The sequence below is a fragment of the Homo sapiens genome, chromosome 3 (assembly GCF_000001405.40).
Source record: "Homo sapiens chromosome 3, GRCh38.p14 Primary Assembly".
Taxonomy (NCBI): Eukaryota; Metazoa; Chordata; class Mammalia; order Primates; family Hominidae; genus Homo; species Homo sapiens.
The window spans coordinates 184,041,042-184,064,839 of NC_000003.12; the positions used below are offsets into that span (position 1 = coordinate 184,041,042).

The 23,798-nt window shown below is 47.3% G+C and overlaps 1 protein-coding gene across 1 annotated transcript, besides 1 other annotated feature; it reads left to right on the forward strand.

The window, feature by feature from the left end:
* Positions 12,006-19,632, forward strand: HTR3C (5-hydroxytryptamine receptor 3C). Its single transcript, NM_130770.3, has 9 exons — positions 12,006-12,106; positions 13,680-13,846; positions 14,271-14,315; positions 15,136-15,245; positions 15,834-16,003; positions 17,386-17,546; positions 18,395-18,599; positions 18,787-19,002; positions 19,109-19,632. The coding sequence occupies exons 1-9, from the start codon at positions 12,040-12,042 to the stop codon at positions 19,309-19,311; spliced, it is 1,344 nt and encodes a 447-aa protein (NP_570126.2). The 5' UTR covers positions 12,006-12,039; the 3' UTR covers positions 19,312-19,632.
* Positions 12,561-13,760: an enhancer, noted in NCBI's record as "BRD4-independent group 4 enhancer chr3:183771390-183772589 (GRCh37/hg19 assembly coordinates)". NCBI's record gives its function as "activates an origin of replication core promoter dependent on BRD2, P300/CBP, MED14 and CDK7 cofactors, and independent of BRD4, by STARR-seq in HCT116 cells {active_cell/tissue: HCT116}" and the evidence as "EXISTENCE:reporter gene assay evidence [ECO:0000049][PMID:35650434]".

A 23,798-nucleotide genomic window follows, 5' to 3' on the forward strand; every position in this document is an offset into this window, starting at 1 on the left:
TTTTTTTTTTTTTTTTGAGACGGAGTTTCGCTCTTGTTTCCCAGGCTGGAGTGCAATGGCACAATCTCAGCACGATCTCCGCCTCCCGGGTTCAAGCGAGTCTCCTGCTTCAGCCTCCCGTGTAGCCGGGATTACAGGCACCCGCCACCATGCCCGGCTAAGTTTTTGTATTTTTAGTAGAGACAGAGTTTCACTATGTTGGCCAGGCTGGTCGCGAACTCCCGACCTCAGGTGATCCACCCGCCTCGGCCTCTCAAAGTGCTGGGATTACAGGCATGAGGAACCACGCCCGGCCGCCACCAAATATTTGTAAAAAATCATTTAGTTTTCCAAGCTCTTTAGATTTTAGAACTGTGGTTTTGTATTATTGTCTCCATTTTTTACCTGTAGAACATGAAGACAGAGAGGCCAGTTAGTGGCCTCACAAGGTTCCACAGCTAGTTAAGCGACAGAGCTGCAGTCTGACCCGAGGCTGGCTGACTCCTAGAGGCTGGACTCCTAACCTGTCTGCTACATTGCTTTCCAAATTGAGGAGGAAACCCAGAGAGGTGCTCAGAGTCCCATATGGAGACATCGGTATCACTTCAAGTCTCTATCAGCTGACACTTTAGGAGAATTAAAACAGCAAGAGCAAGGCCCTGATCAGGGTCCCAAAGACAAACTTTCTTTTACATTTCCTTTTACTCCCTCCGCCATTTTCCCAAGTCCCACCTCTATCCCTTACCCACTCTCTCCTTACCCCGTCATAAGGCCCAGCACCTAAGTTCACTATTTATACTTTCTCCATTCCTTTCTGGAAAGTGTATTTCCCAAATCGACTCTGACCGATTCATCTTTTCTCTGTGCTCCCTCTGGATTTAGTTTTTTGGCTGCTAATGTACATTGTACTGCCAGACCCTTGCGGACCTTCCACTCCTATAACCCCATACTGAGATGGTCATTCTCACTTGAAAACTCACCCTCAACTTTTTCAGAGTAGCTTGTTTACCCAGCTTTTGAGGGGCTCTGAAATTATTTAAGATCAATTTGCATTATTTTGTCTTCCCCCCATCTTCAGGTACATATTTCTTTCTTTTTCTTTCTCTTTCTTTTTTTTTTTTTTTTTTTTTTGAGACAGAGTTTCACTCTGTCACGCAGGCTGGAGTACAGTGGTGGAGTACAGTGGTGCAATCTTGGCTCACTGCAACCTCTGCCTCCCAGGTTCAAGCAATTCTCCTGCCTCAGCCTCCTGAGCTGGGACTACAGGCATGCGCCACCATGCCTGGCTAATTTTTTTGTACTTTTAGTAGAGACGGGGTTTTACCATGTTGGCCAGGCTGGTCTCGAACACCTGACCTCAGGTGATCTGCCCAACTCGGCCTCCCAAAGTGCTGGGATTACAGGTGGGAGCCACCATGTCTGGCCAGGTACATATTTCTCTGCTTCGTTTCTTCACATTTTCCCCAAAATGTAGCTTTAAGTTTTATTTTAACAGAAGTGTGCAGTTTATCTTTTTTGACACATGGATTAATATTCTATATATCTCCTTTTAGTAAGAGAAGGCATGATATAATTATAGTGATTTTATTTTCTCCACAAGCAAAATCTGAACATGTGATCCTAACATCAATGGTAATCATACAGAACCTTTGAATCTGGAGCTCTCCCACAAAATTAACAGGTGTGCCTGCTGCTTTGCTGTTCCATCTATAATAGAATCATATGATAAGTACAGTTTGTGCTAATGACTTTCCTCTTGTTATCTGGCAAACCTCTGAAAGGCTTTGCAAGGTAATTTATGACCTCTTTAGAAACCTTGCTGACAGGCACTGGTCCCTCCTGTGCCACCTTGCATTTGACAGCCTGTTTCTGCCTGGCAGCTCCTCACTTTGTCCATTCATCTGCAGTGCTATCCTGTGGTTCTCACATGTTCACTTTCTCATTATCTAAACCATTATAAACAGTATTTCAGCCAGGTATGGTGGCTCACGCCTGTAATCCCAGCACTTTGGGAGGCCAAGGCAGGCAGATCCTTTGAGCTCAGGAGTTCGAGACCAGCCTGGGCAACAGTCTAAACCTCATCTCTACAAAAAATACGAAAAATTAGTCATGGCATGGTGACATGCACCTGTGGTCCCAGCTACTTAGGAGGCCAAGGTGGGAGGATCTCTTGAGCCTGGCAGGTCAAGGCTGCAGTGAACCGAGATCACGCCACTGCTCTGAAGCCTGGGTGACAGAGTGAGACCCTGTCTCAAAAAAAAAAAAAAGCATTTTTCCATGTTTAATCTACTTTCTTTTGGTTCCATATTAACTTCACACTAGAATATTTGTCTTGTTATCGTGTTTCAGGGCAGGACCTGAAGGACCTGAAGGAAGGCCCTGCCCCTTCCTTCAGGTCTACTCTAGGATGTGAAGCCACAGGCATTGTTTCAAACCTGTCCTTTTTCTCCTCTTCTATTTCTGATTCTCCCTTTGATAACCTCTCTTATTTGACAGTTCATTGGCACTGGTTCTTTTATACAGCAGGAAAAAAACGAAGGTACAGTAGAGAGAAATCTGGCATCTGGCTGTCCTGGGTTTTTAATCTGATGCCATTACTTGCTAGTTGGATCATATTGGCCAAGTGGCTTAACCTTATATATTAAAAATTTTTTTCATTTGTGAAGTAGAGCTAATAACACAGATTAAATTATGTTTCGAATATTGCTATTGACAATTATTAATAAGTTGATAGAAGCTGCAAAACTGAATGTGAAACACCAGAGAGCGTCCATTTTTCACACAGGCTGAAATCTGAAGTGCAAAACAGTCTTCTAGGTGGGAGGCAAGAGACATAAAGAATTACAGATTTCCAGGTCAACCCCCTCCTTTTTCAGATGGGAAAAATGAAGTGGAGAGAAGTGAAGTGACAAGTATGAAGTTATCATCATTCAACAGTGCCTGGGAAAAGAGCCTGGGCCTGTGAAAGTGGCAGCCACAGGTGAAGGCTTGTCCATCAGCCTTTTATCCTAGGTGCGGCTCAGGAGGCCCAGGACGCTCCCACTCTCCTGCTCCCAGGCACTATAGCAGCCTGACCTCAGCTGGTGACCCAGCTGGTGATTTGGGTGCTTTAGATACCTCCTGCTCTCCCAGCTCCCTAGCCCTGGCCAATGCCCTCTGCATGTGATTGCCATCTATCCGGGATGCAGAATGGCAGCCCTCACAGCCTCCTTCCACCATCAAATTCTGCCCTTGCCAGCTAACATCTATATTCCAAATCTGATCTCCCAGAGTCCCAGATGAACGGACCACCAGGGGCCATGCAGTGTGATCCTCTTGGGATAAGCTGAGGAGCTAGATATTGGTACCTGTGATTTGCAAAACTATAGCTGCTGCCCCTGCTATTTACCTTGGGATCCAAGCACTGTTCAGGCCCAGGGATTTCACTGATGAAAACCTAGGAACATAATGAACCAGTCAACAAGATTCCCTAGCTGTGAAATAATAAAAAGAGCAAAGAAAGAGCAATAGAATCAGATTAATCTGGCTTTGAATCTGGATTCTACCAATTTCCACCTGAGTGGACACTGAGCAAGTTTTTTTTTTGTTGTTTTTCTTGTTTGTTTTTTGTTTTGTTTTGTTTTGTTTTGCTTTTAGATAGGGTCTCACTCTGTCGCCCAGGCTGGAGTGCAGTGGTGCGATTTCAGCTCACTGCAACCTCCACCTCCTGGGTTCAAGTGATTCTCCTGCCTCAGCCTCCCGAGTAGCTGGAATTACAGGCACCCACCATCATGCCTGGCTAATTTTTGTATTTTTAGTAGAGACGCGGTTTCACCATGTTGGCCAAGTTGGTCTCGAACTCCTGACCTCAGGTGATCCACCTGCCTCGGCCTCCCAAAGTGCAGGGATTACAGGCGTGAGCCACCATGCCCGGCCTGAGTAAGATTTTGGACCTCTCTGCCCCTCAGTTTCCTTTCCTTTCCTTTCTTTCTTTATTTGCTTCCTTTCTTCTTTCCTTCCTTCTTTTTGTTTCTTTTTTGACAGGGTCTCACTCAATCAACCAGGCTGGAGGGCAGTGTGATCTCAGCTCACTGCAACCTCCACCTCAGCCTCCTAAGTAGTTGGGACTAAAGGCATGCGCCACCACACCTGGCTAATTTTTGTATTCTTTGTAGAGATGGAGTTTCACCATGTCACCCAGGCTAGCCTCAAACCTCTGAGCTCAAGCAATCTGCCTGCCTCAACCTCCCAAAGTGCTGAGATTACAGGTGTGAGGCACCCCACCCAGCCTCTTTCTTTTGTAAGACAGGGTCTTGCTGGAGTGCAGTGGTGCAATCATGGCTCACTGCAGCCTTGAACTCCTAGGCTCAAGCGATCCTCCTGCCTCGGCCTCCCAAGTAACTGGGACTACAGGCATATGTAGAAATGGGGTCTCACTATATTGCCCAGGTTGGTGTCAAACTCCTGGCCTTAAGCGATCTTCCCACTTTGGCCTCCCAAAGTGCTGGATTACAGGTGTGAATCACTACACCCCAGCCTCAGTTTTCCAATCTGTAAAATGAGAATTCTGTCTGAAAGCAGTCATGAGGATAAGAATGCTGTAAGTAAAGTGCTTAGCACAGTATAGGGCACATGGCACAAACTCAGTTGGTGGTGGCTCTGGTAGACTATTCTGAGCCTGGCATTTTCTGGAAAGTTAGAGAAGCATTCAGAAATAAAAGGCTGGGGCTGAGCGTGGTGGCTCACGCCTGTAATCCCAGAACTTTGGGAAGCCGAGGCAGGTGGATCACTTGAGATCAGGAGTTCAAGACCATCCTGGCCAACATGGCAAAACCCCATCTCTACTAAAAAAAATACAAAAATTAGCTGGGTGTGGTGGTGCGCACCTGTATTCTCAGCTACCTGGGAGGCTGAGGCAGGAGAATCACTTGAACCTAGGAGGCGGAGGTTGCAGTGAGCCGAGACCATGCCACTGCACTCCAGCCTGGGTGACAGAGTGAGACTCTGTCTCAAAAAAATAATAAAATTAAAAGAAAGAAAGAAAGAAAAGGCTAGGCCCTGGCTTCAGCCCTCCGGATCCCACCTGCTGCAGACCGCAGTGCTTCTACCTACCCCTATCTCTACCAGACCGCACCCAAGACAAAGGCCCACACCCCAGCCACACCACAGAAACAGCAGCTAACTTCTCTGATATGGCCTCAGGACTCCCGTGCAGCTCCCAACCACCTCTTACATCCTCCCAGGGTGCCTGTGTCCCCTCCGCTCATGCATAGTGAACTGGCAGTCCAGGCATTTAACAAACATTTATTGACTGCCTACTATTACATGCCATATACTGGGGGTACAAAAAAGAAGAAGATGTGATTCCTGCTCTCCAAGATGTTACAGAGCAGTAGGGGAGATGTACATGCAAAAAGATGCTTCCAATGTAGGGGTCATGATAGAGTTCAGGTGTGTGCAGGCATGCATGTGCTTGCAACAGGAAGGCTTCACAGAAGACCAGACACTTGAGCTGAGCTGAATCTTTAAGAATTGATTGGCTGGGTGCAGTGGCTCATGCCTGTATTCCCAGCACTTTGGGAGGCAGAGGCAGGCGGATCACCTGATGTCAGGATTCAAGCCCAGCCTGGCCAACATGGTGAAACCCCATCTCTACTAAAATACAAAAAAATTAGCCAGGTATAGTGGCCCACGCCTGTAGTCCCAGCTACTCAGGAGGCTGAGGCAGGAGAATTGCTTGAACGCAGAGGCAGAGATTGTGCCACTGCCCTACAGCCTGGGCGACGGAGTGAGACTCCGTCTCAAAAGAAAAAAAAAAGAACAGATTAGGCCAGGCATGGTGGCTCATGCCTGTAATCCCTGCACTTTGGGAGGCCGAGGTGGGTGGATCACGAGGTCAAGAGATTGAGACCATCCTGGCCAACACAGTGAAACCCTGTCTCTACTAAAAATACAAAAAAATTAGCTGGGCGTGGTGGCACGCACCTGTAGTCCCAGCTACTCAGGAGGCTGAGGCAGGAGAATTGCTTGAACCTGGGAGGCAGAGGCTGCAGTGAGCTGAGATCGCGCCACTGCACTCCAGCCTGGGTGACAGAGCGAGACTCTGTCTCAAAAAAAAAAAAAAAGAATTGATTAATAGCACAGGAAAACAATGGTAGAAGGTGTATTTTAGATTGAGAAAAATATAGAGGTGTAAAATCACGTATTGTGTGGCGGGGGGTGCTGTTTAGTAGTATGTTTCTCCATGTGTGGTCCATGGCCCACCCATATTAGAATCATCCACGAATGAAATGGAAATTCCTGAGCACAACTGCCTGCACTTCTGATTTGGGGCCAAGACTGTGATTTAGGGACAGAAGTGTGAGGGTAGAGCACATGAGGTAATTCTGATACACGTTAAAGATAAGAATAACTCTTTTAGAACATAAAATTCCGGGCAAAAATGATGGGGAGCTAGGTGAGAGTTAAGTCAGGGAGTGTATTTTACATCATGCTCAGGAGCATTTCATTGTGTAGGCCTATGGTTCTCCAAGTGTGGTCCCAAGACCAGCTGGCTGCAGCAGCAGCAACACCTGGAAGTTCACTGGAAATGCAGATTCTCAGGCCCAACAATTTTAACTGCTATCAACAATGGGAGCCATTGCAAAATTTCAAGTATAAGAAAGACAGGGTCAGCCGGGTGCGGTGGCTCACGCCTGTAATCCTAGCACTTTGGGAGGCTGAGGCGGGTGGATTGCCTGAGCTCAGGAGTTCAAGACCAGCCTGGGCAACACAGTGAAACCCCATCTCTACTAAAATACAAAAAATTAGCCAGGCATGGTGGCGTGAGCCTGTAGTCTCAGCCACTTGGGAGGCTGAGGCAGGAGAATTGTTTGAACCCGGGAGGCGGAGGTTGCAGTGAGCCGAGATCACACCACTGCACTCCAGCCTGGGCGACAGAGCAAGACTCTGTCTCCAAAACAAAGAAAAAAAAAAAAAAAAGAAAGAAAGACATGGTCAGATTTGCATTTCAAACAAATGAACTCAGAATAATCTAGAAGGATAGATAATGTAGAAAATACCAAACTAGGAGTGAGACCACTAAGGAGGTGACCAGGTGTGAAGCTGGAGGGTTTTGATGGTAATGCACGGTTGCCAGAGAGATTCTTCGCCTTAACTTTCTACCCTCCTGGGAAGGCTGGCTATGCTGCACAAGGCCATTCTCCAACAAGGGGCACCTAAAGGATGGGCAGCTCTAGGCTGAAGGAAATGCTTTTCCAGTCAACTCAGGCATAGCTATTGCAGACCTGCAACCAAGGTTTAGGGAATCCCAAGGAAACACAAAGTTTTCTGGAAACACCCACACCTGATTTGATGGTATTCTCCAACAGATCTAGGGCTGCACCCCCAAACATGAAGGCCTTGGAAACCCAGCCCAGCAGTGTCCTTAGCACTGACTCAAACAACCTCTGGCTCTCCTGAGCCTCTGAAGGCCCACGTGCTCCTGTGTCCAGCCTCTAGCCTTTCTGCAATGTCCGATTCTGACTATTCAGCCACCCTGGGTACCCTCAGCCAGAGCAAGCTATGCATCCCAGGTCAGGACAATACTCACACGGTGCCTCCACAGGGCTTATGAAACTGATGAAAGGTGACACTTGCCCTCATTTCAGAGTAGAACAAGCTCTCGTGCCTACTCACGCAGGCCTTACTGGCTGGCCTGGCGCCGGAGCCCAGCACTGTGCTCCTAAATCCAGTGTCTGTGTTCCAGCCCTTCTGAAGAAGTTCCACCTTGATGTCCTAAAGTCTTAGGGAATCTATTGCCCAACCTCCCTATTTCCGATCCCCAGAGTACGGCCCAGCAGACACCCGGTACCAATACTAAAGTGCCTGGACAGGAGTCTCAAGTGTCTGCTGCCAGTCCATACTGGGAGTTTTATGAGAGAGGCCAGGAATTGTCTTGTCAGTCAGAACAGGGGGTGGGAGGAGAGGAGAGGACATGATGACCACCCTATTGTCGTTTGGGATTTTAAAAAGCATTAAATTTCTAGAATCCCAACTTGCCAAGTGTTCTCAAGTGCAGGCAATTTTACCCCTAAGAAGACCTTTGGCAATCTCTAGAGACATTATTAATGGTTGCAGCTAGGGCGGGGGGATGCTACTGGCACCTGATGGGCCAGAGTTGCTGCTAAACATCCTACAATGCATAGGACAACTCTGCAAAGAATTACCCGGCCCCAAATGCCAACAGTGCTAAGGTTAAGAAACCCTGCTCTAGGTAACCCCAGGCTCATAAGAATCCCAACTGGACCCAGAATTACCCAAGGAGCCAGTTAAAGCCTAGATTCAGAGGCTGTATTTCTAGATGTTTTCCTGGCCGAGTGCCCAAGAATTCTAGAGATATGTAAACCCAAGACATAAGCTCCAAAGATGCGCAGAGAAAGAAGACAGTGTGGAGGAAGTCCCTGACCCTTCCGCAGTGACCTCTGAGTCAGAGAAGAGCTTCTGAGCCACCATGAAAGCCCATAGCTTGGCTTAGGAAGGACATGTGCTGGGAATTAAAATAGGAGCCCTAAAGACTACCCAGGATATTCCAGAGAATGTAGGAATGTAGGGAACAGGTAATCCTGATGGCCTTAGAAAAATGATATCCGGGCCAGGCATGGAGGCTCATGCCTATAATCCCAACACTTTGGGAGGCCGAGGCAGGCGGATCACCTGAGGTCTGGAGTTCAAGACCAGCCTGGCCAACATGGTGAAACCCCATCCCTACTAAAAATACAAAAATTATTCGGGCGTGGTGGCACGCACCTGTAATCCCAGCTTATTGGGAGGCTGAGGCAGGAGAATCGCTTGAACCCTGGAGGCAGAGGTTGCAGTGAGCCGAGATCACGCCATTGTACTCCAGTCTGGGTGACAAGAGCAAAACTCCATCTCAAAAAAAAAAAAAAAAAAAAAGATATCTCAGCTACTGAAGCTCTGTCTAAATATGGCTGACCTCCCCTTTCTGAGAGCCCACTGGAGAAGGGACAGAGGAGGCAGGCACTCCCAGGAGACACTCTCCAAGTCACATGGTGACATTGTACTTTGGTCCTAAATGGCATGATGGGTCAAATCTAAAGGATAGATTTCACGCTCAATTTCTACCAGGTTGTTAAGTCATCCTCAGCCCCAACGTCCCTCCTTTTAAGCTGAGAATCACCCTGATTATAGCCCATTTTTTTCCAGGGCGCCTATCCCCCAGATTGATGCCTTGTATAGTCCAAAACCAAGGGTCCTAGGATCTCATTTGCTGCTCTCTCTTCTTCCATCCACTTCCAGGGCCATTCACACACCTGGCTTTCCAGATCTGTCCTAGATCGCACCTGTGTTTGACTTGCTTTAAAGGTACATTATGTATAGAACCACCTGGCTTCCTGGCTTGGAAAGGCATCTGTAGCCTGGCCAGTTGCCCCAGCCCTCATGACAACAACTTCCTCCTTGTGTCAGCCAGTACCTTATGTTGCAGATGCTAACATGTCTCCCAGCTGAACCCTTTCAAGTCATGAAGGAGAGCTCTAAACCATGAGCAGTTTTCCTTCCTTCTTTCCTTTATTTCTTTCTCCTTCCTTCCTTCCTGCCTTCCTGCCTTCCTTCTCTCTCTCTCTCTCACTCCTTCCTTCCTTCCTTCCTACCTTCCTTTTTTTTGAGACGGAGTCACGCTCAAGTGCAGTTGCGTGATCTCGGCTCACTGCAACCTTCACCTCCCGGGTTCAAGTCATTCTCCTGCATCAGCCTCCTGAGTAGCTCGTGTCTTTCTCCCTCCCTTCCTTCTCTTTCTCTTTCTCTTTCTTTCTCTTTCCTTCCTTCTCTCTCTCTTTCTCTTTCTTTCCCTTTCTCCCTTCCCCTTCCCCTTCCCCTTCCCTTCCCTTCCCTCCCCTCCCCTCCCCTCCCCTCCCCTCCCCTCCCCTTCCCTTCCCTTCCCTTCCCTTCCTTTCCCTTCCCTTCCCCTTTCTTACAGGGTCTTGCTCTGTTGCTCAGGCTAGAGCATAGTGGCACCATTATGGCTCACTGCAGCCTTCACTTCCTGGGCTGAAGCAATTCTCTCACCTCAGCATCCCAAGTAGTGAGAACTATAAGCACATGTCACCACACCTGGCTCCTTTTAAAAATTACTTTTTAGCCGGGTGCGGTGACTCAGACCTGTAATCCCAGTAATTTGGGAGGCTGAGGCGGGTGGATCACGACGTCAAGAGCTCAAGACCATCCTGGCCAACATGGTGAAACCCCGTCTCTACTAAATATACAAAAATCAGCTGGGCGTGGTAGCGCGTGCCTGTAGTCCCAGCTACTCGGGAGGCTGAGGCAGAGAATCGCTTAAACCCAGGAGGCAGAGGTTGCAGTGAGCCGAGATTGCGCCACTGCACTCCAGCCTGGGTGACAGAGTAAGACTCTGTCTCAAAAAAAAAAAAAATTACCTTTTGTAGAGATGGGGTCTCACTGTGTTGCCTAGGCTGGTCTCAAACTCCTGGGCTCAAGCGGTCTTCCTGCCTCGGCCTCCCAAAATGTTGGGATTACAGGCATGAGCCACCGTGCCTGGCCTGGAGCAGGTTTTCTAGCAATTCCTCTGTTCCCTTCTATTCCTCCCTTTCTCACTCCTTCCACTCCAGTACTTCTAGCCACCTTTCTGCCTCTCTTTCTCCCCTCTTTGATTCTTTCTTTCCCTTCAACCTCTGGCTCAAGTTGGCCAAGTTTCCAAGTCAGGGAAGAAATTACTTGCAGAGGTGGTAGGTCTGAAGGACTGCAGCTACCGCAAACCTCAAATGGAATCCACTGCAGCCCTCTCCTGTGCCTTCCTACTTTGGGCCTCTAAGTCATTCCTGCATTTCTCAGCACTTTCTACTTAGGGCTGTCATGATCACTAATTCTGAACAAAGTTTTTTTTGTATTCTACATCTGGCCCTTCACCCTTTCTGCAAGGAAAAACTGTCCAAGTCTTTCTGGAAACGTAGCTAAGATACTTGAAATAAAAATGCTCCAATTCATTCATTTGAGCCAATTTTTTTTAATAGGAATGTGGTGACATAAGACATAATATTAACACATGCCAATGATATTGATGTTAGCTGAGATTACTAGTTTACAATAATGCTATATATTAACACTATTGACAGCACAAAGTGTTACTATCTTAATTTTATGAGTTCTATTATCATGTAATCAGTGCATAGCCTAAAAATTATACGGAGAACATTGGTTTGGAGAGAATAAATCAGAAAGGCAGAGACGCTGTAAAGAGGAAATCTAGTTAGGGGCTACTGGAAAAGCATAGACACTAGATGATGAAGGTATGAACCAAGCTTTATAATTTGGCATTTGGAATAATTCCAATGTCAACAAAAGCTGTAAGATACTTTGGTAAGGGGGCCGGGCGCGGTGGCTCACGCCTGTAATCCCAGCGTTTTGGGAGGCTGAGGTGGGTGGATCACGAGGTCAGGAAATCGAAACCATCCTGGCTATCACAGCGAAACCCCGTCTCTACTAAAAATACAAAAAATTAGGCGGGTGTGGTGGCACACACCTGTAGTCCCAGCTACTCAGGAGGCTGAGGCAGGCAGGAGAATCGCTTGAACCAGGCAGGTGGAGGTTGCAGTGAGCCAAGATCGTGCCACTGCACTCCAGCCTGGGTGACAGAGAGAGACTCTGTCTCAAAAAAAAAAAAAAAGATACTTTGGTATTCATAACCAAATCACTAAGTATTGCACCTGGTCTTGGTGCACACAGATTCCCTGGTCTTGGAAGCACACAATCCTAATTTCCCCAGCCTACATTCTCTCATTAAGGCACGTTATTTTGTTTTGGATCTCAGCACACAGCTGCCAAATAGAATGCTTTTCCCCTAGTGTCCGCCCAATTTCCTGCCTGCCTGGAGCCCGGAAGGTGCATCTGGGCAGAGCCAATGCAGGACACTTGGCTGGGACCTCTCTGGTCACAGGCTGTCACAGGGAGTGGTCACTTGCCATGAGTAGTATTCAAAACCAGCAACCAGGGTGTGGTCTGAGCTCCTTTAAGCTCCAGGGTTTGGGAGCTCCTGGTGAATCCCCAGAGAAGAGTCCAGAAAGAAGAATGGAAGGAGGGTGGCCTGCAAGGCAGAGTGCCCTCCTCTGCCTCACTGTCAGTCTTCTGCTTCAAGGTAAGATGGGACGAGAACAGGGAAGACCAGAGTGTGGTTCCGAGGGACACCTGGACTCACCTCTAGCACTTGGAGGGCATTCAGAATTAATGTGTTAAATATTTCTTCCATAATGTCTGTGTCCTGATTTCCTTTTGGTGACAGATAGAAAGACAGTTCACTGATGAGTGCACACAGACTTTCTCTGTTCCTGCCTGCACAGGGATCTATCAAACTGTCTCATTTCACCACTTCTCCAATTCCACCTTTTCACTGACTTCTGATGCTCCACTACCACACCCTTCTTCCCCCTCTCCTTGTCTCTGTTTCTCCTGACATGATATCTATGAGAAGAGTAGCCACTGATTTTAAACATGCCCTGAGGGAGGGGACAATCTGAGGTGGAAATGAGCAGATATTTTGCTTCCATGAGGTAATATTTGTTCCCAATCTGGACACATACCTTAAATATTATGGAAAGAGATGGAGATAGAGAGAAGGAGGCAGAGAAAAGGACCATATAATGATGGCGATGGAGCAAAGATGCCACTCAGGTACTACCCAGATGACTCCCTGGCCATGGCCGAGAGACAATATCTGCACCGGCCTCACTTTGTGGTTTTGTTGTTGTTGTTGTTTGTTTTTTGACATGAAGTGTCGCTCTGTCGCCCAGGCTGGAGTGCAGTGGCACGATCTTGGCTCACTGCAACCTCCGCCTCTCGGGTTTGAGCGATTCTCCTGCCTCAGCTTCCTGAGTAGTTGGGATTACAGGCGAGCGCCACTATGCCCAGCTAATTTTTGTATTTTTAGTAGAGATGGGGTTTCACCATGTCGGCCAGGATGGTCTCGATCTCTCGACCTTGTGATCCGCCCACCTCGGCCTCCCAAAGTGCTGGGATTACAGGCGTGAGTCACCGCGCCCGGCACACCGGCCTCACTTTGTGACTGAACAAATGCTGTATGCTCAGTGATGTCACCTCATGATCCCGATGCTAGAAATAACCCACGAGACAACTGAGGTCACTAAATCTGAGAAGAGCAAAATAAATGCATAGCACCAAGGTAAGCACCCAGTCAGATACCTACCGTGTTTCTCATATCTACCTGGTGAGTGCAGTTGTGTAAAATGTCTCTTATCCTCTTGATAAATCAGTTCTTGCCTTCAGTAGACTTAAGATCCTAAGAGTTAGAGAGAGAAATACATTAGCATCGATTTTTAGGTGACTTGGACCACAAGTTTTGGGCAGTTCTACTGCTAGGTGAGCCAAGAGTCTTGTGATGGGTACATTAAAGGACTCCTGGAAGTAGCTGCCATTGCACTTAGGCCAAGTTTTCATACAGATTTGGGCAAACTTTGCATGAGGATGAAGCAATGGGAATGAGAATAGAGCCCTGACCTCAGCTCACCACATCCACTTCCACCATTTGCCTACCAGCCCAGCCCATCCTCCCCAACCATGGCCTTGGGGAGTCTTGGCATGGGAAGGAGGGGCTCACCTGCTCCTCTCAGTACGTCCCCTATTTTATCTCTCTGCAGAGAGACTCCAGCCCTGGAAATAGAGTCCCTCTCTCACGGAGTCTCTGCTCTCTATAGGAAGAGGCGACGCTTTTACCATCAATTGCTCAGGCTTTGACCAGCATGGGGTTGACCCTGCTGTCTTCCAAGCAGTGTTTGACAGAAAGGCCTTCCGTCCATTCACCAACTACAGCATCCCTACCCGTGTCAACATCTCCTTCACCCTGTCTGCCATCCTGGGAGTGGTGAGACTTAGTCCCTGCATCTTTTCCATGGCTTCTAATAAGGAACGAGGACCCTCTGCCCTGTCAACCCAACATGGCCCTGGCCCCGTGGTGAACAATAGGCACCCTGGATGGATTTAACGCAAGTTAGATGCTTTTCCTATGCGATGGAGAGGCACGAAGAAGAATACTGCAGTGATGTTTTTTCAGGAAGGCATTTGTCTTTGAATCCTGTCATTTCTAGAATGCTCTAGAAAAAAGTAGTCTGTATATTAATCAAAATCAGAATTGCCCATAGACACAGGGGAAACGAGTGAGGAAAAGACAATTCAGCATCTACAACAATGCCTGGCCCAATAAATTAGTAAATATTGGTGGGAATATGAGGTGGGCATTGGCCAAACCTTTTAACACTAATAATCCTGAGTGGAAATTTCCTTGTCAGGATGCACAGCTCCAGCTGCTGACATCATTCCTGTGGATGGATTTGGTAAGGCAGATTCAACTATCTCCTCCCCACTTCATTTATAATTTTAAGCCTGAGGAGTTAGAAGTGACTTAAAGGGGCCAGAAGCAGTGGCTCACGCCTGTAATCCCAGCACTTTGGGAGGCCAAGGCAGGTGGATCACCTGAGGTCAGGAGTTCGAGACCAGCCTGGCCAACATGGTGAAACCCCATCTCTAATAAAAATACAAAAATTAGCTGGGCATGGTGGCAGGTGCCTGTAATCCCAGCTATTCGGGAGGCTGAGGCAGGAAAATTGCTTGAACCGGGGAGGCAGAGGTTGCAGAGAGCCAAGATTGTGCCACTGCACCCCATCCTAGATGACAAGAACGAAACTCCATCACACACACACACACACACACAGAAAAAGTGACTTAAAAGTTTTCTAGTTCAAACCTCTACCCAAAGTATAACTTTTTCTGGGATCTGGGAAAAAATAACTCCATGTAGAACTGGACTCACCATGGGGACCCAAACCTCCCTGGGAATCTTAGGAAGGTTGAAATAGCAACTCAAAAAAAAAAAAAAAAAAAAAAAAAAAAAGGCCAAGTGCAGGCCAATATATTGGTGTGGTCCTAACTCCAAGTGGTTTTAGGCCATATTTAATATCTGCCTGCCAAAAGGCTATCAAGGGGTACTTTTCTGGTGACACCTTGTTAAATCAAGAATGGGGGGATAGGCTGTGGTTATTAGGGTCACAAATGGGAGTGGGAGGATCAAGGTTTAAAGAAGAATGGAAAGGGTGGGAGAGGCCGACAGGACAAGCTCACCGTCACTCACCTCTGTCCCTCACTGCCCTGATGCAGGTATGGGACAATCCTTTCATTAATTGGAACCCAAAAGAGTGTGTTGGCATCAATAAACTCACAGTATTAGCTGAAAACCTGTGGCTCCCAGACATCTTCATCGTGGAATCGTGCGTATGCAGGCTGGGGAAGCCAGCGTGAAACCTCATCTGCCGAGAACAGCCTAGGGTCAGCACAGGGCATGGGGCCACCGAAAGATTCAGACAGGCACACAGTCTCAACGAACTGACTTCCACACATCACTACGAGTAGAAGAGGCGAGAGAGTGACATTAAAGAAAGAGCCCAGGGCCAGGCGCGGTGGCTCACGCCTGTAATCCCAGCACTTTGGGAGGCCGAGGCAGGTGGATCACCTGAGGTCAGAAGTTCGAGACCAGCCTGGCCAACATGGTGAAACCCCCATCTCTACTAAAAATACAAAATTAGCCAGGTGTGGTGGCACATCCCTGTAAATCCCAGCTACTTGGGAGGCTGAGGCAGGAGAATTGCTTGAACCTGGGAGGCGGAGGTTGCAGTGAGCTGAGATTGCACCACTGAACTCCAGCCTGGGCTACAAGAGTGAAACTGTCTCAAAAACAACAAAAAAATAAAAATAGAAAGAGAAAGAGCCCAGAAGGAGAGCACAGCAGGGGAGACCCCAGAAGGAAGGGAGACAAGAGCTGATTAAGCCTCCATCTCTTCCCTCCCTTCCCCAAACAGCATGGATGTGGATCAGACGCCTTCCGGTCTCACTGCCTATATCAGCAGTGAAGGTCGAATTAAGTATGATAAGCCAATGAGGGTGACCAGCATCTGTAACCTGGACATCTTCTACTTCCCTTTTGACCAACAGAACTGTACCTTCACCTTCAGTTCTTTCCTCTACACAGGTAAGTGTGACACATTTTGGTAGCTGTTTAAGATTCAGGGAAGACATTTGAGTGGTGTAGGTATCATTAGAAAAGGTTTTGGATCAGTGTTGCTCCACTCCGGTGGCCTAACAAAGCTTTTTGAAAATACCAATAACTGGCCAGGCACAGTGGTTCACACTGTAATCTCAGCACTTTGGGAGGCAAAGGTGGGACAAACGCTTGTGCCCAGGAGTTTGAGACCAGCTTGGGCAACATAGTGAGACCCCCATCTCTACAAAATATAAAAAGAATTAGCCCCAGCTACTTGGGAGGCTGAGGCAGGAGGATTGTTTGAGCCAGAGAGGCTGAGGCTGCAGTGAGCTGTGATTGCACACTGCATTCCAGCCTGGGTGACACAGTGAGACTCTGTTTTTAAAACAAAAAACAGGCAGGGCGCAGTGGCTCACGCCTGTAATCCCAGCACTTCGGGAGGCCGAGGTGGGCAGAACACGAGGTCAGGAGATCGAGACCATCCTGGCTAACACAGTGAAACCTCATATCTACTAAATATACAAAAAATTAGCCTGGCCTGGTGGTGGGCGCCTGTAGTCCCAGCTACTTGGGAAGCTGAGGCAGGAGAATGGCGTGAAACTCGGGAGGTGGAGGTTGCAGTGAGCCGAGACTGCACCACTGCACTCCAGCCTGGGCGACAGAGCGAGACTCCGTCTCAAAACAAAACAAAACAAAACAAAACAAAAAACAAAAACAAAAGCCTAATAAGCGCACATCACCCCAGATGCCGATTAAATTGTTCCAGGTGGGGCCCAGGTGATGCTAACGTGCAGACGGGGTTACGACCTGCTGCTTTACAAGCTGAGTGGCCCTTGTGCCAAATGAGGCCCAGCTGACTCTGAGCTGCTGCACACCTATAATTTTTAGCTCAAATCTTTTAACTCTAATAGCTAACACACTTAAAAACCGGTAAATTAATATAACCGAATGCCACCAGGTGTCATGTGGCAGATTTGGATAAACTAAAACCATCAAAATGGGCATGCCTATAATTATTAAAATATTGAGCTATTCAAGCTTGATTCCACTAAAACACCACCATACGACTGGGGGACTGAGAAGGAAAATAGGAATGACTCCAAAAGTTCTTGACTCACGTTTCAGTCATATCCAATATTCCCATAACGAACTTGACTCACTCTTGTTTTCAACAACAAAAGAAATTAATGCCGCTGCCCACACACATATGAATTGCTAGTCGGGTAACCCACTTCTGAGAAAACCAGGATACCTTGCTTTAAAAGGATAGAGGAAAATTTGGTTTAGAAGCTCAGTGGGGGAGGACTCCAATTTCGTGGGCGGGAGGCTTGGGAAAACGTCTGCAATGAACTGACCGGCCTCCCTTCCAGTGGACAGCATGCTGCTGGGCATGGACAAGGAGGTGTGGGAGATCACAGACACGTCTCGCAAAGTCATCCAAACCCAGGGGGAGTGGGAGCTCTTGGGCATCAACAAGGCCACCCCAAAGATGTCCATGGGCAACAACCTATATGACCAGATCATGTTTTATGTGAGTCCAGGGGCCCCTGTTTGACTTCTGATCCCAGCAGCTCTTTGATTGTCCTCTTGACCTATGGCTCTTTGGGAAGCAAAAAAGAAGCTCCAGGCCGGGTGCAGTGGCTCACACCTGTAATCCCAGTACTTTGGGAGGCCGAGGGAGGCGGATCATGAGGTCAGGAGTTCAGGACCAGCCTGGCCAACATGGTGAAACCCCGTCTCTAATTTAAAAAACACAAAAATTAGCTGGGTGTGGTGGCACATGCCTGTAGTCCCAGCTACTCGGGAGGTTGAGACAGGAGAATCACTTGAACCCAGGAGGCGGAGGCTGCAGTGAGCTGAGATAATGCCACTGCACTGCAGCCTGGGCAAGACAGAATAAGACTCCGTCTCAAAAAATAAAATAAAATAAAAATAAAGCTCCAGAGGGTTGGGCACCTGCTCCCCACTGCCCCATCTACCTAATTGCCCTGAAGCAGGATCCCCAAGGCCTCCCCCACTCCCCATTTGCCCACTCCTCATTCACCCACTCCTGCTCTGGAGAGGGCAGGAATGGCTGGACTGTAATAAGCCCTGCTGCTCAGAATGGATCAGCTCACCCCTACTGCTCAGAATGACTTAAAGGGCCCACTTGCACCTAAAATTCTACAGTCATTGTGTTCCTAGTAGGTTAAAAATGAATAAAAATTAGACAACAAATCAGAGGCCCCTATGTAGGCGAGCACAATTATATGCAAAAGTGTTACTTAAAAAGATCGTCCCCAGCAGCCTCACAGCACATTGGCAAAGATTAGGGGTCAGATATACAAATTGAGCCCTCTGACATCTATTTATTTGCCATCTTCTCCGGTCTCTCTCCAGGTGGCCATCAGGCGCAGGCCAAGCCTCTACATCATAAACCTGCTGGTGCCCAGTAGCTTTCTGGTTGCCATTGATGCCCTCAGCTTCTACCTGCCAGCAGAGAGCGAGAATCGTGCCCCATTCAAGATAACACTTCTGCTGGGCTACAACGTCTTCCTGCTCATGATGAATGACTTGCTCCCTGCCAGTGGCACCCCCCTCATCAGTATGGCTCCTCCCACTTTCAGGAGGAGAAAGGGCACCCGGGGCCAGGGAGGAGGGCCAGGAGAAATGGCCGCTGCTCCACTGAAGGAAGGAAGGGGCTGTGAAAGAAGATTGGATTTAGGAAAGAGGCGTGAGGAATGCTTAGAGATAAATTTGCCTGGTTTATTTATAATTTGCTCTGCCCTCAGGTGTCTACTTCGCCCTGTGCCTGTCCCTGATGGTGGTCAGCCTGCTGGAGACCGTCTTCATTACCTACCTGCTGCACGTGGCCACCACCCAGCCCCCACCCATGCCTAGGTGGCTTCACTCCCTGCTGCTCCACTGCACCAGCCCAGGGAGATGCTGTCCCACTGCGCCCCAGAAGGGAAATAAGGGCCTGGGTCTCACCCTCACCCACCTGCCTGGTGAGGGAAGCCAGCACTGTCCATACTCGCCCTTCACACTGGGCCCAGCACTCCTCTAATCCTGTCCCCTTCCCACTCCATGACTGAGCCTCTGTCCTCTCCACAGGCCCAAAGGAGCCGGGGGAGTTAGCAGGGAAGAAGCTGGGACCCAGAGAGACCGAGCCAGATGGGGGCTCAGGATGGACAAAGACCCAGCTAATGGAGCTGTGGGTGCAGTTCAGCCACGCGATGGACACCCTGCTCTTCCGCCTCTACCTGCTCTTCATGGCCTCCTCCATCCTTACTGTCATTGTCCTCTGGAACACCTAGGCAGACATCCCCCCTCTCTGGCAAACAACAGCTTGGAGTTTCTGCTGGTCTTGGGCCAGCCGGACTCATTTTCCTAATCTTAGCCACTTATCCCCAGTGACTACCATGTCCCCTTCTAAATTCCAAAGACTCCAACGCAGCACTAGCAAGCAGGTTCGGGACAGCCCTGGACGATTTCCCGACCGCTGCTCAGGCTGCTCATTCCTGCTCACCCTCAGTCTCCCTGAGCTACCACCTAACTCCTCACTCCCTGATCAATGGAAGTCCAGGTCAGTGGAGTCTCTCCTTGATTGATCACCCCAATAAACAACTTTCCAGGAAGCACTGGCTCTTCAGTTTGTTTGTTTGTTTGTTTGTTTGTTTGTTTATTGAGACAGAGTCTCACTCTGTCACCCACACTAGAGTGCAAATGATGCCATCTCAGCTCACTGCAACCTCCGCCTCCCAGGCATGATTCTCATGCCTCAGCTTCCCAAGTAGCTGGGATTACAGGTGCACACCACCACACCCAGGTAATTTTTGTATTTTTAGTAGAGACAGGGTTTTGCCATGTTGGCCAGGCTGGTCTGGAACTCCTGACCTTAAGTGTTCCGCCCACCTCGGCCTCCCAAAGTGTTGGGATTACAAGCGTGAGCCACCTCGCCCAGCCCTCTTCATTATATTTATTATAAGTCTACAAACTCTGCGGTGGAGAGTCCTCTTGCAGAAGCTTTGATACTTCCCCCTAAGCAGGTGTAATCTGATGTGATTTTAAGGGTTTTAGATACTTTCAGAGTTTTATAAGAATAAGAAGGCCAAGTCTTATTTGCAAGAAATTATTTCATTTGCAATAAAATATTTACAAATGCAAAATGTTCCTTTCAGCAACCATTTCTTTTTCACTTTCCTTTACCTCTCATTCCTGAAATTGCTCTTTGAAATAAATCATATCTTGTGTCATTCTTTTTTATTCTAACAGGTTTCTCTTACTTCACAACATCAAACAGAGCGGGCTTTCTAAATATGTGTGCTTGAGGCTGGGGGGTTCATGCCTGTAATCCCAGCACTTTGGGAGGCCGAGGAGAGAGGCTAGGAGTTTGAGACCAGCCTGGGCAACAAAGCGAGACCTTGTCTCTACAAAAATAATAATTAACTAATTAATTAATTAAAAATTAGCCAGGTGCAGTGGTACATGCCTGTAGTCCTAGCTACTCGAGGGACTAAGGTAGGAGGATCGCTTGAACCCAGTTCAAAGTTACAGGGAGCCACGATCGCACCCTTGCAATCCAGCTTGGGCAACAGAGCAAGAACCAGTCTCTTAAAAATAAAATGAAACGAAGAAAGGTTTTTTAAGTTCCCTGTTAATAGTAGTTCACAGCAGGGCTCGGTAGCTCACACCTGTAATCTTAGCACTTTGGGAGCCCAAGGTGGATGGATTGCAAGGTCAGGAGTTCGAGACCAGCCTGGCCAATATGGTGAAACCCCATCTCTACTAAAAATACAAAAGCTAGCTGGGCATGGTGGTGTGCACCCGTAGTCCCAGCTACTCGGGAGGCCGAGGCAGAAGAATTGATTGAACCTGGGAGGCAGAAGTTGCAGTGAGCCGAGATTGTGCCACTGCACTCCAGCCTGGGTGATAGAGCAAGACTCTGTCTCAAAAATAATAATAATAATATAGTAGTTCACACCTTCATCAACAGCTATAATCATGGGAGAATTCTAATAGCTAGCTGCAAGAAAGACCCTGAGGAGAAACAGAAATTGAAAGAGAAAGTCAAAAAACACCAGCGACAAATTTCTGGATGATATTTCAATTGGATAAACACATTTCAGGGATTTATTTGTTGGCCCTTCTGCCTCCCCTAAGAGTATGCTTTCATAAAGATCAGGGTCAACGTCTCATCCATTTTTATAGTTTAGCACATGGTACCACATCTGGCACATCGTGGATACTTAACACAGACTTGGGGGTTTTTTTTTGTTTTTTTTCTTTCCAACTTTTAGGTTCAAGGGGTACATGTGCAGGTTTGTTACCTGGGTAAATTACATATCGCAGGGGTTTGGTGTACAGATAATATTGTCATCCAGGTAATCAGCTTAATACCCGACAGGTTAGGGTTTTTTTTGTTGTTGTTGAGATGGAGTTTTGCTCTTGTTGCCCAGGCTGGGGTGCAATGGTGCGATCTTGGCTCATGGCAAATTTCGCCTCCCAGGCTCAAGCTATTCTCCTGCCTCAGCCTCCCAAGTAGCTGGGATTACAGGCATGTGCCACCACGCCCAGCTAATTTTGTATTTTTAGTAGAGATGTGGTTTCTCCATGTTGGTCAGGCTGGTCTCAAACTCCTGACCTCAAGTGATCCACCTGCCTCAGCCTCCCAAAGTGTTGGGATTACAGGCCTGAGCCACTGCACCTAGCAGTACTAGGTTTTCTGTTCCTATGTTAATTGTCTTAAGATAAGGCCTCCAGCTCCAACCATGTTTCTGCAAAGGCCATTATCTCCTTTTTTATGGCTGTGTAGTATTCCATGTGCATATGAACCATATTTTCTTTATCCAGTCCACCACTGATGTGCTTCTAGGTTGATTCCATGTCTGCTATTGTGAATAGTCCTAAAATGAACATACATTTGCATGTGTCTTTATGGTAGAATGGTTTACATTCATTTGAGTATATAATCTATAATAGAATTGCTGGGTCAAATGGTAGCTCTATTTTAAGTTCTTTGAGAAATCTCCACACTGCTTTCCACAGTGGCTGAACTAATTTACATTCCCATCAGCAGCATATACATGTTCTCTTTCCTCCACAACCTCTCCAGCATCTGTTATTTTTTCAACTTTTAAATAACAGCCAATCTGACGGGTGTGAGATGGTATATCATTGTGGTTTGGATTTGCATTTCCCTAATGATTAATGATATTGGGCTTTTTCTCATATGCTTCTTGGCCATGCATATTTCTTCTTTTGAGAAATGAATACGGCATTGTTGAATGAGTAAATGTGTGAATGAATGCCAGCCAGCCAAAATCCACATTTTACTAGCTCTAGCTGTAAATCCCTTCCCAATATATTTTCTTTTCTTTTCTTTATGGAATGTGGACAATTAGCAACACATCTTCATGTGTCAACTATCTCTGAGTTCTTGGAGATGTTACTTATATCCTGGCAAAGGCAGTTCTGATATCAGATTCTCTTGTTTCCTTCTCCTTTCCATTACTTGGAACATATCTCCCACTCAGAAACTCAATTGGTTTTTCCCAATAACTTAAAATGAAGAATATCTGTTAAGCCTTTGAGGAATTTCAAATTTCTTAAGATCAGTTTTGTATCATTTCTTTTTCCTTCCCCATTTCCATGTTTATATTTCTCTAGATGTCATCTTGCGATTTTTTCATACATATGCAACTTTAGGTTTTCTGTGCTAAGACTTTTGTTTGACAATGCCCTTTGCAAAAGAACATTCTGCTGATATGTTCAGGTGGAAGTGCGATTTGTGGGGTAAAACATGACCTGACAATGAAGCAAAATATATTAAACTACTACTAGCCAACATAGGTCAGCAGGAACGTTACAGGTGTTTCACAGTTTGGGAGGGAGTGGTTCTGGTTTCTGATACCTCTCATTTTAAGAAAGAGAAAAGGACGGATGTGGTGGCTCATGCGTGTAATCCCAAAACTTTGGAAGGCCTCAGTGGGAGGATTGCTTCAGCCCAGAAGTTTGAGATCAGCCTGGGCAGTATAAAAAGACTTCGTCTCTACAACAACAACAACAATCAGCTGGGTATGGTGGCGTGTGCCTGTAGTCCCAGCTACTTGAGGGACTGAGGTGGGAGGATCGATTGAGCCCAGGAGGTCTAGGCTGCAGTGCGCTGTGATCGCACCACTGCACTCCAACCTCGGCGACAGAGTGAGACTCCATCTCAATAAATAAATAAATAAATACACACACATACACACACACACACACACAACACACTAGCCCTTGTGATAATAACTTTATTTTTTTCCTCTATTTTCTATTAAAAACCTCTGTAGGAGTGTACACTGGAAATTTATGAACTCTGTAAAAATCAGACGATTGGCCCTGGATACACTACTCTCATCAAATGCTTGATTATTGTCTAACTTCCTGGGTAATTTCTACTCATGTCCCACTCTCTCCTTTCCTTGGCAGCATCTAGGGTTATGCTCACAACCTCTTCACGTCTCATTATTTATTTTCTTTCTTTCTTTTCTTTTCTTTTTTCTTTTTTTGAGATAGAGTCTTGCTCTGTTGCCCAGGCTGGAGTGCAGTGGCGCGATCTTGGCTCACTGCAACCTCCGCCTCCTGGGTTCAAGTGATTCTCCTGCCTCAGCATCCCAAGTAACTGGGATTACAGGCACCCACCACCAGACCCAGCTAATTTTTTTTTTTTTTTGTATTTTTAGTAGAGACGGGGTTTCATCATGTTGGTCAGGCTGGTCTCGAACTCCTGACCTCTGGTGATCCACTCGCCTTGGCCTCCCAA